Source organism: Homo sapiens, chromosome 3, assembly GCF_000001405.40.
Source record: "Homo sapiens chromosome 3, GRCh38.p14 Primary Assembly".
In the NCBI taxonomy this organism is placed as follows: domain Eukaryota; kingdom Metazoa; phylum Chordata; class Mammalia; order Primates; family Hominidae; genus Homo; species Homo sapiens.
In genome coordinates this window covers 32502859-32519397 of record NC_000003.12, presented here as the reverse complement: position 1 = coordinate 32519397, position 16539 = coordinate 32502859, and the positions used below count along the sequence as shown (strand labels likewise).

The following is a 16539-nucleotide window of genomic DNA, read 5'->3' as shown; positions in this document are numbered from 1 at the left end:
TTCCTTCCTCCCTCCCTCCCTCCCTCTCTCTCTCTCTTTTTCTTTCTTTCTTTCTTTTTTACAGAGTCTCACTCTGTTGCCCAGGCTGGAGTGCAGTGGTGTGATCTCGGCTTACTACAACCTCCACTTCCCAGATTCAAGCGATTTTTGTGCCTCAACCTCCTGAGTAGCTGGGATTCCAGGCATGCACCACCACACCTGGCTAATTTTTGTATTATTAGTAGAAATGAGGTTTCGCCATGTTGGCCATGCTGGTCTCGAACTCCTGACCTCAGGTGATCTGCCCACTTCAGCCTCCCAAAGGGTTGGAATTACAGGCGTGAGCCACCACACCCAGCCTTGTCTCATTCTTTACATATTCAGAATACTGCTTCCAGTCAGGTATGTATTGCAAATATCTTTTTCTACTCTGTGGTTTCCCTTTTCACTCTTATTGGTGTCTTTTGATGAATACAAGCTACTGATTTCAATATAGCTCAATTTATCAGCTTTTCTTTATGGTTATTGCTTTCATAACCTGTTTTTAAGAAGTCTTTGCCAGCTGGGCATGGTGGCTTACACCATAGTCCCAGCACTTTGGGAGGCCAAGGTGGGAAGATCACTTGAGCCAACTTGAGCCAAGGAGTTTGAGACCAGCCTGGGCAATACAGTGAGACCTCATCTCTACCAAAAATTTAAAAATTAACTGGGCATGGTGGCATGAGCCTGTAGTCCCAGCTACTCTGGAGGCTACAAGGAGGATCACTTGAGCCCAGGAAGTAGAGGTTGCAGTGAGCCATGTTCACGCCACTGCAGTGCAGCCAGGACAACAGAGCAAGATCCTGTCTCAAAAAAAAAAAAAGGCCTTTGCTAGCCCCAAAGTCATAAAGATATTCTATGATTTCATTTTTCTATGAGCTTTATTGTTTCACATTTCTACAATCCACTTGGAATTGATTTCTATGCATAGTGTGAAATAGGGGACAACATTCATTCTTAAAATGCAAATGTTCATTTAATCCAATGCCACTGTTAGAAAAAAAAAAACCAAAAAAACCATCCTTTCTTTACCATTCTGCAGTGCTATCTTGGTCACAATTTGACTGTTTATTTATGCAAACATCTATTTCTGGGCTTTTGAACCAATTAGTCAATTGCCACAGAAATTCTGGCATTTTTATTGGGATTGCATTGAGGATAACAATTTGGGGATAAATGTTACTTCGTTTTTGTTTTTTTTTTTTTTTGAGACAGAGTCTCGCCCTGTCGCCCAGGCCGGAGTACAATGGTGCGATCTCGGCTCATTGCAACCTCCACCTCCTGGATTCAAGCAATTCTCCTGTCTCAGCCACCCTAGTAGCTGGGATTACAGGTGCCCGCCACCACGCCCAGCTAATTTTTGTATTTTTAGTAGAGACGGGGTTTCACCATGTTGGCCAGGCTGGTCTCAAACTCCTGACCTCGTGATCTGCCCACCTCAGCCTCCCAAAGTGCTGGGATTACAGGCGTGAGCCACTGCGCCCTGCTGATAACTGTTATCTTTACAACATCGCCAAACTATGCACAGAATAGTCTTCCATTTATTATATATAGGTTTTTTTTCAGTTTCTCTTAGCAATGTTTGTAGTTTTCAGTGTGTACTCTTGTGTCTCCTTTTCGTTGCTTTTTGGGAGAGTATTTGGTTTTGATGGTATTATAAAATAAGATCCTTCTAAGATTTCTTTTTTTTTTTTTTTTTGAGACGGAGTTTGGCTCTCTTGTCACCCAGCCTGGAGTGCAATGATGCAATCTCGGCTCACTGCAACCTCTGCCTCCTGGGTTCAAGCAATTCTCCTGCCTCAGCCACCCGAGTAGCTGGGATTACAGGTGCCTGCCACCACGCCTGGCTAATTTTTGTATTTTTAGTAGAGACGGGTTTCACCAGGTTGGCCAGGCTGGTCTCGAACTACTGACCTCAGGTGATCCACACTCCTCGGCCTCCCAAAGTGCTGGGATTACAGGCGTGAGCCACCACACACGGCCTAAGATTTCATTTTACTTTGTTGCTCATATATATAAATACAGTTTTCATGTTGATTTCATCCAGCAACTTTACCTCCATTTATTTTATTTTATTTTTATTTTTTTGAGATGGAGTCTCCCTGTGTCGCCCAGGCTGGAGTGCAATGGTGCAATCTCAGCTCACTGCAACCTCCACTTCCCTGGTTCAAGTGATTCTCCCACCTCAACCTCTCGAGTAGCTGGGATTACAGGTGTCCGCCATCATGCGTGGCTAATTTTTGTATTTTTAGTAGAGACCGGGTTTTGCCATGTTGGTCCGGCTGGTCTTGAACTCCTGACCTCAAGTGATCCACTCGCCTCAGCCTCCCAAAGTGCTGGGATTAGCTACTCAGGAAGCTGAGGCAGGAGAATCGCTTGAACCCAGGAGGAGGAAGTTGCAGTGAGCTGAGAGATCACGGCACTGCACTCCAGCCTGGGCAACAGAGTGAGACTCCGTCTCCAAAAACAAACAAACAAACAAAGTGCTGGGATTACAGGCGTGAGCCACCACACCGGGCCACCTCTTCATTTATTAATGTAATGGTTCGCCTGTAATTTATTTTGGATTTTTCTACCTGTAGTTATGTAATCTGCAAATAATGACTTTTATCTCTTCCTTTGTAATGTCTTCTTGTTTATTACACCTATACTTCAATACAGATTATTATAGAACTGGTGAGAGGAAACATCTTTAATTGTTCCCCATCCCAGAGTAAAAACTTTCAATATTTCACCATTAAGTATATTTGCTGCGTGCTTTCTGTAGAGACTCTATCAAAAAAGGAAGTACTCTCAGATGAGAACAGGTCCTGGCAAAAAAAAAAAAAAAAAAAAAAAAAAAAAAGGAAGTGCTCTTTTTCTGTTGTTATTTGTCTGAGACGGAGTTTCACTCTTGTTGCCCAGGCTGGAGTGCAGTGGCGCAATCTCGGCTCACTGCAACCTCCGCCTTCCGGGTTCAAGCAATTCTCCTGCCTCGGCCTCCCGAGTAGCTGGGACTACAGGCATGTGCCACCACACCGGGCCAATTTTGTATTTTTAGTAGAGATGAGGTTTTTCCATGTTGGTCAGGCTGGTCTCCAACTCCCGACCTCAGGTGATCCGCCCACTTCAGCTTCCCAAAGTGCTGGGATTACAGGCGTGAGCCACTGCGCCCCACCTGGAAGTGCTTTTTTTCTAGTCAGTTTATGCTATGAGTTTTATCATGAATGGGTGTTTAATTTTATCAAATGCTGTCTTCATCTATAGAGATTATTTTCTTTTTTTCTATTAATGGTATGAGTACCTTACCTTTTTTTTTTTTTTTTTTTTTTTTTGAGATGGAGTCTCCCTCTGTCCCCCAGACTGGAGGGCAGTGTTGCTATCTCGGCTCACTGCAAGCTCCGCCTCCCGGGTTCACACCATTCTCCTGCCTCAGCCTCCCGGCAGCTGGGACCACAGGCACCCCCCCCCATGCCCGGCTAATTTTTTGTATTTTTAGTAAAGACCGGGTTTTACCGTGTTAGCCAGGATGGTCTCGATCTTCTGACCTCGTGATCCGCCTGCCTCGGCCTCCCAAAGTGCTGGGATTACAGGCGTGAGCCACCGCTCCCGGCCTACATTACCTTTTAAAATATTAAGCCAGCCAGGCGCAGTGGCTCACGCCTGTAATCCCAGCACTTTGGGAGATCGAGACAGGCAGATCACGAGGTCAGGAGATCGAGACCATCCTGGCCAACACGGTGAAACCCCATCTCTACTATAAATACAAAAATTAGCCGGGCATGGTGGCGGATGCCTGTAGTCCCAGCTACTCAGAAGGCTGAGGCAGGGGAATCACGTGAACCTGGGAGGTGGAGGTTGCAGTGAGCTGAGATGGTGCCACTGCACTCCAGCCTGGGCAACAGAGTGAGACTCCGCCTCAAAAAAAAAAAAAAAAAAAATTACGCCACCTTTGTATTCCTGGAAAAACCCCTATGCTGATCTTAATATATTAGTTGTATTGTATTCCTGATTTTGATTTGCTAACTTTTTTTAGAATTTTGCATTATGCTCCTGAGAAAGCCTAACCTGTAATTTTCATTTCCCCTAATGTTTTTGTCAGTGTTTTTTATCAATATTATGTTGACTTCATAAAACAATTCTGTTTGTGTTCTTTGTAAAGAGTTCATGTAAGATTGCTGTAGTACCTGTCAAATTTGTTTCTGTAGAATGATCAAATGTCACTTTATAAATCCCCTCATGGAACTGAATAATGAACCAAATGGTAATATCCACTATAGTTTTCTCACTTGGGGGCTTTCATTTAGACAGAAATTACTAGCTGTCTAAACTGGCAGAATCCCAGAATATGGGAGTTCTTCCTTCATGTAACAGTTACTAATGTTTTTACTAAATAGATGTTCCCCATGCTGAAATAAGATTGTAGAAAATGATGCCAGCCAATTCCTGCTGAATGTATAAGACTTATCCTGTGATCATTATCATTTTATAAAATTATAGGAAAAATGAGTGAATATTTCATTATAATAGGTTAAACTTTAATAAACCCTAGGGAGAAATTCAAGCTATGTATAGTATAGGATAATTTGCTAGAATTCTCACCTCTTCTTTCTTGAGCCACGTGGCCTAGTAAATGGCTAAGACATATGAATACCTTATTTGGAAACATCCCGAAGTATAATTCTAAACTGATTATAGGGGTGTGGTTTGGTTGAGGAAAATCATGACTATTATGTTAAGAAACTTCATCTATTATAGTTTAAGGCAGCAGGTAGCAAAATTGGCTTATATGAGGAATTATTTAAAACATTTGGACAATTCTTGTGTCAAATAGGAACAATGTTTAAAAGAAAAATGAAAAAGTGTTTATGTTCATTGCCTAGTAATTTCTTGGGCATCTTATACCAGGAAATGTCAGGAATAGCTGACACTGTATTCTCTTAAGTAACAGGGACATGGCAGGAACGAACACCAGCAACTTTTGGTTTTACTAATTTACCAAATTGTAATCCATACATATAATTAAAAATATGTGGTTATTAATGTGAAGAGGTGCTTGGAATTCAAGGATATTTTAAAAGATATCTCTATTTTACTTGGCTAGACTTAAAAAAATTTTTAACGTATTTCTCAATCAGCTGAAGATAGAGAGTAGATGGCAATAGTCATACTTTGAGAAATTGCAGATACACACACACAAAATACTTTGAGAAATTAGGGATACACACACACAGAGCACGAGAGAGAGAGAGAGACAGAGAGGGAGAGAATTATAAACACATATACACATTTGGTCACACTATATCACCACAGTCTTTTTAGAATTAGTTGGTAACAACTCTTTTCCATCTTATCTTGGGTTAGGAATATTTTTTAAAACTTAAATACAGTAATTCTCAAATTTTTTGGTCACAGGACTTCTTTGCACTCCTACTTGTTAAGGACCCCAAAGAGCTTTTGAAAATGTTTGTAATATTCATTTATATTTACCATATTGGAATAAAACTTAAACATTTTAAATATTAGTTCATTTATAAATAACAAATAATTTTTATGGGTTAACATAAATAACATTTTTAATGGAATATAACTTTCCCCAAACAAACAAAAAAGTATTGAAAATAATGTCATTGTTTTATATTTTTGTAAATCTCTTTAATGTCTTGCGTGATAGAAGAACAGCTGCATTCTCATATTTGCTGCATTCAATTTTATGTGTTACGTTGTTTTGGTTGAATTCTATAAAGAAAATCCAGCTTCACAGATATGTAGGTGGAAAAGATAGGAATATTTTAATAGCTTTTCCAAATAATTGTGAATTTTCTTTTTTGAGGCTAAAACTTGACAAGTGTTAGTTTTTTAAGGATTAAATGTAGTGTGGAATCCATTGGTCTATCCTACTCTTTTAAAAAAATTTTTTTAAATTTTAATTTTAATTTTTTTTGAGACAGCTCTGTCACCCAGGCTGGAGTGCAGTGGCTCCATCTCAGCTCACTGCAACCTCCACCTCCTAGGCTCAAGCGATCCTCCCACCTCAGCCTCCAGAGTTGCTGGGACTTCCAGGGCACATCATCACACCCAGCTAATTTTTTTTTGTATTTTTTTGTAGAGATGGGGTTTCACAATGTTGCCCAGGCTGGTCTTTAACTCCTGGACTGAAGTGATCCACCTGCCTTGGCCTCACAAAGTGCTGGGATTACAGGCGTCAGCCACCGCACCTGGTCCTATCCTACACTTTGAATAGATTGTTACCCCTATGTGAGTTTGTAACATCAATTTATTGATCTTTTAGAAAATATCAGTTTACTGAGTTTCAAGGATCTTCCAAGTATTGATATTTCATTAAAAAAATCACACAAAAAAGGATCTTCCAAATATTGACATTTCTTCAAAAAAATCACACTGTAGCCTGACATGGTGGTGCACACCTGTAGTCCCAGCTACTCAGGAGGCTGAGATGCGAGGACCACTTGAGCCTAGGAGTTTGAGACCAGCCTGGGCAACATAGGGAGACTCTGTCTCAAAAAAAAAAAAAAAAAAAAAAAAAAAGGCCCATTTGTTAATATTACTACTAATCTCACTAGAAAAGTCTAAGTGTTGGGAAGCTATCAAGCTCACTGGTTACATACAAGTGTTCCAAAATGCTAATTTTATTGGAAAGTTCAAATGTTATGAATGGCAACAAATGCTGTCAGTTGTATTCCTTGTATTGACAGGCTTATTTTGTTCATTTTTGAGAAAATGTCTGCCAAATACCTAAATCTGGAAACCTGTTCTTTCAAGTAAGATGGTGAAAAAAGTGGCTAGTTTTGCTTACTTATAACTCAATAGCACCAGTTCTTCTCCTAGAGCTGCCATTGTCACTCAGCATGCAGCAGAAATGCTATAGGTGTACTTCCTATCTTATCACATACAATTGTAAAAGGACTGGTACTAAATGACTGCAATGTAACAAAATTAATCATTTACTTGTTCATCAAGGGAATTTTTTAAGTGAAACTGGCTTTATTTTTTCCCATGTAGTGGTGAAGAATACAATGACTACAAATAGAGTTTGGCACCACTGCCTTGTTTTGTGCTACGGTGCTGGCAGTTTTACTCCACTAGCAGTGCAAACAAATGTCCTCAGTGAAAAAGGCAAATGACTTCTTAGTAGTCTTTTGAAAATAGTCTACTTTACAGAACCTCTGTAAGGAACCCCTGGTGGTGTACAAAAAAATACAAAAATTAGCTGGGTGTGCGTGCCTATAGTCCCAGCTACTCAGGAGGCTGAGGCAGGAGGATGGCTTGAGCCCGGGTGTAGGAGGTTGCAGTAAGCTGAGATCAAGCCATTGTACTCCATCCAGCTCTGGGCGACAAAGCAAAACCCTGTCTTGGCCGGGCGCGGTGGCTCACGCCTGTAATCCCAGCACTTTGGGAGGCTGAGGCAGGCAGATCACAAGGTCAGGAGATCGAGACCATCCTGGCCAACATGGTGAAACCCCATCTCTACTAAAATACAAAAAATTAGCCGGGTGTGGTGGCACGTGCCTGTAGTCCCAGCTACTCGGGAGGCTGAGGCAGGAGAATCGCTTGAACCTGAGAGGCAGAGATTGCAGTGAGCCGAGGTTGCGTCCCTACACTCCAACCTGGCAACAGAGCAAGATTCTGTCTCAAAAAAAAAAAAAAAAAAAAAGACATGAACAGACAAATCAAAAATAACATAAAAATGGCCCTTGATATGAAAATATGTTCAGCTTTCCTCATGGGAGAAGTACACATTAAAACTACACTGAGGCCGGGCGCGGTGGCTCATACCTGTGATCTCAGCACTTTGGGAGGTCAATGCTAGTGGATCAGTTCAGGTCAGGAGTTCGAGACCAGCCTGGCCAACATGGTGAAACCCTGTCTCTACTAAAAATGCAAAAATTAGTCGGGCGTGGTAGTGCATGCCTGTAGTTCCAGCTACTTAGGAGGCTGAGGCAGGAGAATTGCTTGAGCCGGGAAGGCAGAGGTTGCAGTGAGCCAAGATCATGCCATTGCACTCCAGACTGGGTGACAGAGGGAAAGTCTGTCTCAAACAAAGAAAAAAAAACTACACTGAAATATTATTTCTCCCTATCAGAATGAAAAAAATTCAAAGGCTTGACCACAGTGTTGGAGAGGCAATGGAGAAATACATGCACTCCTTCACTGCTCGAGGGAGTGCCAAATAGTATATAGCCTCTAGTGAATGAAATTTGCAGTTTAACAAAATTGCATATGCCTACTCAGTAATCACATGCCTAGGAACTGACCCTAAAGATACAAAAGTAATACAAAAGTATTATTCACAATATAAAAGTAACATTCACAGATTTATTCACCATTTGTAATTGCAAAATAGTGGGAACAACCTAAATGCGTATGGATAGGAAACTGGCTAAATAAACTGTGACATAGCTGCATGATGGAGTAACTACAATTTTTTTCAAATGAAATTGATTTCTATGAACTGATATAGAGTAACTTCTAGGATGTATTGATAAATGAAAATAAAAAGTACTAATATATATGTAACACACATACCCATCTGTATCTGTCCCTTTCCACTAAAGAAACACAGGAAAGATAACCAGAAACTAACAAAATTTGTTACTTACAGTGGAGGGGTGGGTGGGAATCAGGTGGAAGGCATAGAGACTGAGTGACATTTCTCTAAGTGAACCTTTTTGTATGTTTCTACTTTTGAAACCTTTATCAATGTTTCATATTTTCAAAAAATAAAATTTAATCAATAATGAAGACAAAACCTGTAAGATTGATTGTATGACCTGCAATGGCACTCATTATGAGGTTAGACTTTGTGTTAGGGCTGCCTGGGGATGACAGGGTCTCCCTGCAATCCAAATTCCAAATTGGACCCCACCCTTTCCCTTCCCCAGGCACTCAGAAGCTCCTTCCTTTCTTTATCACATCCCTCACTCACGTGGTCAAACTGTCCTGGACTAAAATAACCAAATAATGATGGAAGCAAGGAGGTTAAGTGACACACAATCTTTTCCCCTAATGACACCTAAGAACTAACCCTGCACTGGTGAGTGCAGAAGCCTTAGCATTCCTTTGCCTTTGCGGCCCTCTGCTGGTGTAAAGAAAATGTGGAGGTTGATGATGTTACTTGCTTATTCTCTAGTCTAGTTTTGTTGGGAGAGGAACTTTGATAAGCTGTCTCTCCTAGGAGATCTCTGATCCAAAGTTCTTGCTTATCTGGCATTCTTGGACACTTTGTGGAATTTGGAAATATTCATACAATTTAAGACTCTTCTTTGCCTTCACATCACTGCTCTTGTCTCTTCCCGCTCTTTAACCACTGCTTTATTTTCTTGGCTCTTCTTCACCTTCTTTCCTACTCCTTCCAAAGTTCTGGCCTAAATCCTCTTCTTCCTATAAGTTCATCCCCTTAGCACTTTTATGACTGTAACTATTTAGTTCTATGAGTATTTCCCAAATGCTTTATTTCCTCCAATGCTCCAGATCCTTTTTTTTTTTTTTTAAACAGAGCTGGTGCCTCAGCCTCCCGAGTAGCTGGGATTACAGTCATGCGCCACTACGCCCGACTGATTTTTGTATTTTTAGTAGAGACAGGGTTTCACCATGTTGGCTGGGCTGGTCTTGAACTCCTAGCCTCAAGTCATTGGCCCATATCGGCCTCCCAAAGTGCTCGCATTACAGGTGTGAGCCACCGCGCCCAGCCTCCAGATCCAAATTTGAAACTATTTACCACAAACTCCGCTTGATGCCCTCTGGCACCTCAATCTCAGTGTGCCCTAATCTGAGTTCTTCATCTTCCCTTTGTTGGAACAAATGACCCAAAACCTGGAAATAAGGATTACCAAGTGCCCTTTCAATGTCATATTAGCACAGTAGTTCTCAAAGTGTGGAGTGTGGTCCCTAGACCAGCAGCATCATCATCACCTGGGAACTTGTTAGGAGTGCAAATTTTCAGGTTCCACCCAAGATCTACTGAGTCTGAAACTCTGGAAGTTGGATCCAGCAATCTGTGGTTTAACAAGCCTTCCGGGGGATTCTCATGATCACTTAAGTTTGAGAACTACTGAACTAGAGCAGGGGCTAGCAAACTATGGTTTGTGGGCCAAATCCAGCCTACTGCCCGCTTTTATTATTTTTTAATTTTAATTTTTAATTTAATTTTATGTTTTTGAGACAGTGTCGCCTAGGCTGGAGTGCAGTGGCGTGATCTCGGCTCACTGCAACCACCATCTCCTGGGTTCAAGCGATTCTCCTGTCTCAGCCTCCTGAGTAGCTGGGATTACAGGCACCTGCCATTATTCCCAGCTAATTTTTGTATTTTAGAGGGGGTTTCACCATGTTGGCCAGGCTGCTCTTGAACTCCTGACTTCAGGTGATCCGCCTGCCTTGCCCTCCCAAAGTTCTAGGATTACAGGCGTGAGCCACGGCGCTCAGCCTATTGCCTGCTGTTATAAAAGTTGTATTGGAACACAGCCACACCCATTTGTTACTATATCATCCACAGCTGCTTTTGTTTTACAACAACAGTTGAGTTGAGTAGTTGCGACAGAGACCATATGGCTCTCATAGCCTAAAATAGTTACTATCCGGTTCTTTAAAGAAAAAGTTTGCAGACCCCTAGACTAGAGCATGGTCTACAAAACCCTCCTAAGGGTCATCTGATCGTCTAGGGAAAGACAATTTTCTTTGAGTTAGTATTTATTACTGAGTTGGGCCCAGATTCCATAATTAAGGTATTAATTATAGAAAATTGGTAAATTGCAAATTATTTTTGTTAGAGGGAGATAAAAATGATTTATCTGTGTTAGAGTTCATCACAAAGATAACAATTTTATTTTCCGGTAAACCATAAACCAGTTTTGGATTTAACCTAGCAATCTTATCTTAGCATTATTTTTTTTCTTTCACTGAATACACACACACACACACACACACACACACACACACACACACCCCTCTCATAACCGCCTATAAACCAGTTTTACATTCTTCTGATTACTTAACTAATAAATTAGGTTGTTTTTTTTTTGCAATTTTATAACTTTGATGTATTTGACCATCAGCAATTAGTTCTCATCCACATTGACTGTCTGTAGATTTTTGAAAGTGGTAACCGGTACATAGGTAACCAAAGTATAGAGCTTATTTGGTGAATCTTCATCCTTATTCTGGATAATCGCACACGGATTCGGTATGAGACATTCCTTATTCCTTTGGCCCAGACAGCTTTGTTGAGCCTGGTAGCAACGCACATGTCTGGAGCTACCATCTCCTTCATGGCAAATTTCCGAATCTCTTTGAGTGCCCAAGGGGCACACTTCTTGAAGCGCACTCCATGGGTGCGCTTGTGAATGTTGATGGTGTATTCTTGGGTCACCACCTCGTTGATAGCAGAACGGCCCTTTTTCTTTTGGCCACCCTTCTTTGCGGAAGCCATTCTGTTGGGTCCAAGTTGGAAAGGCAATATTTTATTTTATTTTATTTTTTTAAGACAAGGTCTCACTCTGTCACCTGGGCTGAAGTGCAGTGGCACAATGGCACAATCAAGGCTCACTGTAGCCTCAACTTCCCGGGCTCAAGCGATCCTTCTACCTCAACCTCCCAAGTAGCTGGGACTACAGGCATATGCCTCCACACTCAGCTAATTTTTTTTTCTTTCTTTCTTTTTTTTTTTTTAGAGATGGGGTCTAGTCTGGTCTCGAACTCCTGGACACAAGGAATCCTCCTGCCTGGATTACAGGCATGAGCCCAGCCTATTAATAAATTAGATAAATCTTTGAAGCAGGCTTACTATATGCTTGTATGAAAGTTATCTTTTTAATTTTTTGAAATTTGTACTTTGACATCAATAAGAGTTACTGCCTCCTATATTACCTCTCTGTTATTATTCTCCCTCAATCTCCTTGTTACCCAGACTTGAAATATTGGCACCTGCTCCAGTTCCTTTCTTACTCTCTAAACAAATCAGTCCTCAAATCTCACTGGTTTTACCTCCAAGGTTCTCTTGGTGCCATCCCCATGATTAACGTCAGAGTTTAAGCTTCTATTCCCTCTCTCCTGAACTTTTACAATAGCCCTTACTTGGATCTCTGTAACCACTGCGCTCAAGGCTACTAGAAAAATATCCCCAAGGAAAAGCTCCGATCATTTCACTCCCCTTCCTAAAACTCGTTGGGGGTTCTTCATTACCCAACAATAATGGAAAGGCCCAGTTCCTTAGCTTGATTTTCAAAGCCTTCCAAAATTTGATCTCGAGCTTATATTCCTTAACTACTCTGTCCTTTCCTGCTCCCTTCATTCACTGTGCCTATGCACACTTTCTTTGCCTTCCTTCATACCACCCTACTGCCTGAATACTTTCTGCCCTGTATCTGCATGTCCAAACCGAAGTATAGTTTAACCCCATCTTGAAGCTCCACTGTAGTGATCCTTTAAACTGAAAGTTATTTCTCTCTGCTCCGAATTAGCAACATATTTAATTTGTATCTCTTCTATAACACATATCTCTTTCTATTTTGTAACATAGTTCTTTGTGGACATTACTGTGGTATCATTGTAGGATAGCGTCTATAATCTAACTTTGTATCCACAGTATTGCCTAACTGTGCTAATACCGATAAGAGGGCCAGTGAAAAATTGTTTAGCAGGAACTGCTGAAAAAAATTAAACTCTGAACTGAAAAAGTAGTACTGAGGCAGGATAGGCAGTCAAGGAAGTGCCCATATCCTCAGGACGCAGCAACCATGGTGACCCCAACAGTCAACACAATAAGCCTCAGCATTTGAATTGTGATTGAACTCAGTCGAGCAAAGCTATCTTCAGTAGGAAATTTCTTCTATAGAGAGCATGAGCACTTTGATTTTACCTGTCCTCAAACTGACCTTTTGCTCATTATAATAGCAAAAAACATGCCCTTGGGTGGAGATTTACAATGCTAATGGGACACCTGAGGGAGGAACATGGGTGCACAGCTACTGCACATGTGCAGCCAGAGGACCAACCAGAAGATGCTTACTACTAGGTTGGTGCAAAAGTAATTGTGGTTTTTGCATTTAAAGTAATGGCCAAAACCGCGATTACTCTTGCACGAACCTAACGGTAACACTTCTTCCCACCTCCTTATGAATAATCATGCAAATAATACATGATTAGCAATAACCTCCAGCAATAATCAATGTTGTCTCATCCTTACGAGCAGCCTGCCCTGAATTCTCTCTCTCTCTCAGGGTGTGATGTCTATTTTGTACTTAGCTTTCAAAATTTTTTTTTCTTTTGCAATAAATTATGCTGCATCTCTTTTGCTGTATGTCTCTTGTTTAAATTCTTTTAAACTAAGAAGACAAGAACCAAGGTCTTGCAACAGCCTCCAACACTACCACATTATTTTTTGAATGGCTGAAGTCCCATCAAATTATGTTCCCCAATCGCTCTCTCTTCTTGTGAATGTTTTTCTTTCTTTTTTTAAAAAATTAAATATCTAATTTTAAAGGAGAACAGTGAATATTCTTTAAAACCTAAATTTAGTGTATCTTCCTTTCTTCTTTTTGTCGTATTTTTTTCACCATACGTAAGATTTCTCATTTCAACATAGTGAGTCCCACCATTTGACTATTGCAAGTTGTTTTATTCATTAATGAGGGTGACAGTTTTCTGTGTGAATATGCCCATCAAAAGAGTTTCCTATACAAGTATTTGCTCATGAAGCACTAACATTTTTATTTGGTCTTTCAATTTATGAAGAAAATGTAAGGGATGCCCATTTCTTTACCTGGGTGAAATATTAGTCTCTAAATCCCAGGCACCCCCAAATCAATCAGAGCAAAGAAAATATGGCACGTCTACTGTCTACTACACAATGGCTTTCACTTTTATCACATTATAAAACAGTGTTTCTCTATGTGGATGGATTTCTTCCCAGATTCACATGAAGAGCTTGTTACGAAAGTATATTCCCAAGCCCCATCTACATTCAGAATCTTTGGGGCTAGATCTCCAAGAATCTTCCTTTTTAATTAATCTCACAGATGATTCTTCGCCATGTTGGAGTTTATGAATCACAGGCTAAATTTGTGTCTTCTTCTAAAAATGCAAAGAGAAGCAGAGACCCCTAGAGAATTGCATAAGTGTGCCCTAAACAAACCAAGAGGGTTGACGAAGTCTGTTCATCTTCTCTCTTGTCTCAAAGTATCCTTGTTTCTTTGTAACTTCCTCCCAATACTTTATTTTGAAAATGTTCAAACATACAGAAATGCTGAAATAATTGTACAGTGGACACCCGTATACTTCACCTAAATATTACCATTAATATGTTACTGCAGTTGCTTTATTAGAGATCCTTGTTGTTGTTGTTTTTTTAACAATGATTTTTTTTTTTGAGACGGAGTCTCGGTCTGTCGCCCAGGCTGGAGTGCAATGGTGTGATCTCGGCTCACTGCAAGCTCCGCCTCCCAGGTTCACGCCATTCTCCTGCCTCAGCCTCCCGAGTAGCTGGGACTACAGGCGCCCGCCACCACGCCCGGCTAATTTTTTGTATTTTTAGTAGAGATGGAGTTTCACCGTGTTAGCCAGGATGGTCTTGATTTCCTGACCTCGTGATCCGTCCCCCTCGGCCTCCCAGAGTGTTGGGATTACAGGCGTGAGCTACCGCGACCGGCCTGCTTTTTTTTTTTTTTGAGACGGAGTCTCACTCTGTTGCCCAGACCGGAGTGCCGTAGCGCGATCTCAGCTCACTGCCACCTCCACCTCCCGGGTTTGAGCGATTCTCCTGCCTCAGCCTCCCGAGTAGCTGGGATTACAGGCACACGCCACCACGCCCGGCTAATTTTTGTATTTTTAGTAGAGACGGGGTTTCACCATGTTGGTCAGTCTGGTTTCGAACCCCTGACTTCAGGTGATCCACCTGCCTCGGCCTCCCGAAGTGCTGGAATTACAGGCGTGAGCCACTGCGCCTGGCCTATCACAAATCTTTTATCCATCTCTCTAGTCATCAACTCATCTTAATTTTGGATGAATTTCAAAGGAACTTTTAGACATCAGTAGTGTCTAATTTGGGATGATAGTGACTTGAAGAATAATGGGGCAATGAATCCTTGTAGCCCTGGTGAAAATACAGTGGCCTTCCTTGTTGGACAGAATTGGTGGCATCTTGGCCTTGGGAGGACATTCAGAGTGCATGTAATCAGAGACAGAAGGGTAGTTCTGGCTGGTTGTAGGTGGCCCCTGCAGGGCAGTATCTACTTGTCTCTATTCATTTGAATGGGAGCTTTTGTTTGTTACTGGAAGAAGAAAGGGAGGTTTGGGGCCACGGAGAAGATGTAGCAGCTGATGGCAGCAGAAACCCCTTCTCTCTTCCATGGGTTTTGAGACTCCAATGGAGAGATGAGTTAGAAGCTGACGTTTTCTGGGTTAGCGTTTAGCAGCAAGGTTTCGAGTCAGACTGCTTAGGCCTGCATTCCAGCTGCTCCTGGCTGTTTGACCTTGGATATGATTTCAGCCTCTTGGCCTCAGTTTTCTCATTTGAAAATGAATGTAACCGACTTTATACTGTCGAACCTACTTTATATTGTTGTGAACATCCTGTAACTCAATCAACTTCAGTTGCTAAAATATAATTACATTCCTTGACAAGTTCACACAAAATTAACATATGTGACTGTAGCAGTTGGTGACCAAGAAAGAGAAAAAGGAAATGATTTTGAAAAGTGAGCCTAAATGGAATTTCGGGAGACGCGGGAGGGAGCGATTCTGAAAGTCCTTACAGACAACTCATTGTACTTCAAATGAAATACGAATTCTTCCCTTGGTCTGCAAGGCCTCCACATTATCTGGCCTTTGCCTACATCTCCAACATCTCCTTTCCTCCCGTACTTATTCCTAGCGACACAGGCCTTTGGGCTTCAGATTGAGTCAAACTCATTTGGTCCTCGGGACATTTGCACTTTCGTGAAAGGCTCTCCCCAGAACTTTACAAGCCTGGCTTCTCACACTTTGAGTCTCATTCAATTCAAAGATCATGGTCCTCAGAGAGGCCTTTCCTGACCACTCAGTTTAGTAGTGGCCATTTAAGTAGAGCACCCAATTCTCCATCCTTTTTTCCTTCTCCTTCCTCTTCTCCTCCTCCTCCATCTTCTTTTTTTTTTTAATAAATTTATCAAGCCACCAGAAATGCTGAATCCATTATTTTCGTATCATATTTTCACGTCACTTATCACTATCTGAAATTGCTATCCATCTGTTTTCTTGTTTATTGTCTGTCTCTGTTACTAGGGATCCTGTGATTTTGGGTAGTACTTGGCTGTCACCCAAGTACCTAGAACGGGGTTCACTGCACACCGAAAGTACGCAAAAATACTAAGTGAATGAATGTCAGGAGGATGAAAGATGGAGGGAGGTGAGAAATCCATCAAAGGCTCACAGAAAGAACTCAATTCTTGGATGAAAGTCGGAAGAATCCCAACAGCTAACAAGCAAATTTGCTGAGAGGGGGCGGGGCGGGCCAAGGGCGGGGGCGGGAAGGGGCGGAGTCAGGCGGAA

At 41.5% G+C, this 16539-nt stretch overlaps 1 non-coding gene and 1 pseudogene across 1 annotated transcript, besides 1 other annotated feature; one reads left to right on the top strand and one right to left on the bottom strand.

The window, feature by feature from the left end:
- On the bottom strand, window positions 11036-11467 carry RPL31P18 (ribosomal protein L31 pseudogene 18; annotated as a pseudogene).
- MIR548AY (microRNA 548ay) lies at window positions 13009-13115 on the top strand. The gene has a single exon (NR_106753.1). It is a non-coding gene; the product is annotated as a microRNA 548ay (primary transcript).
- Window positions 16446-16535: a silencer, noted in NCBI's record as "silent region_14174". NCBI's record gives its function as "represses an Ori minimal core promoter by ATAC-STARR-seq in GM12878 lymphoblastoid cells {active_cell/tissue: GM12878}" and the evidence as "EXISTENCE:reporter gene assay evidence [ECO:0000049][PMID:35858748]".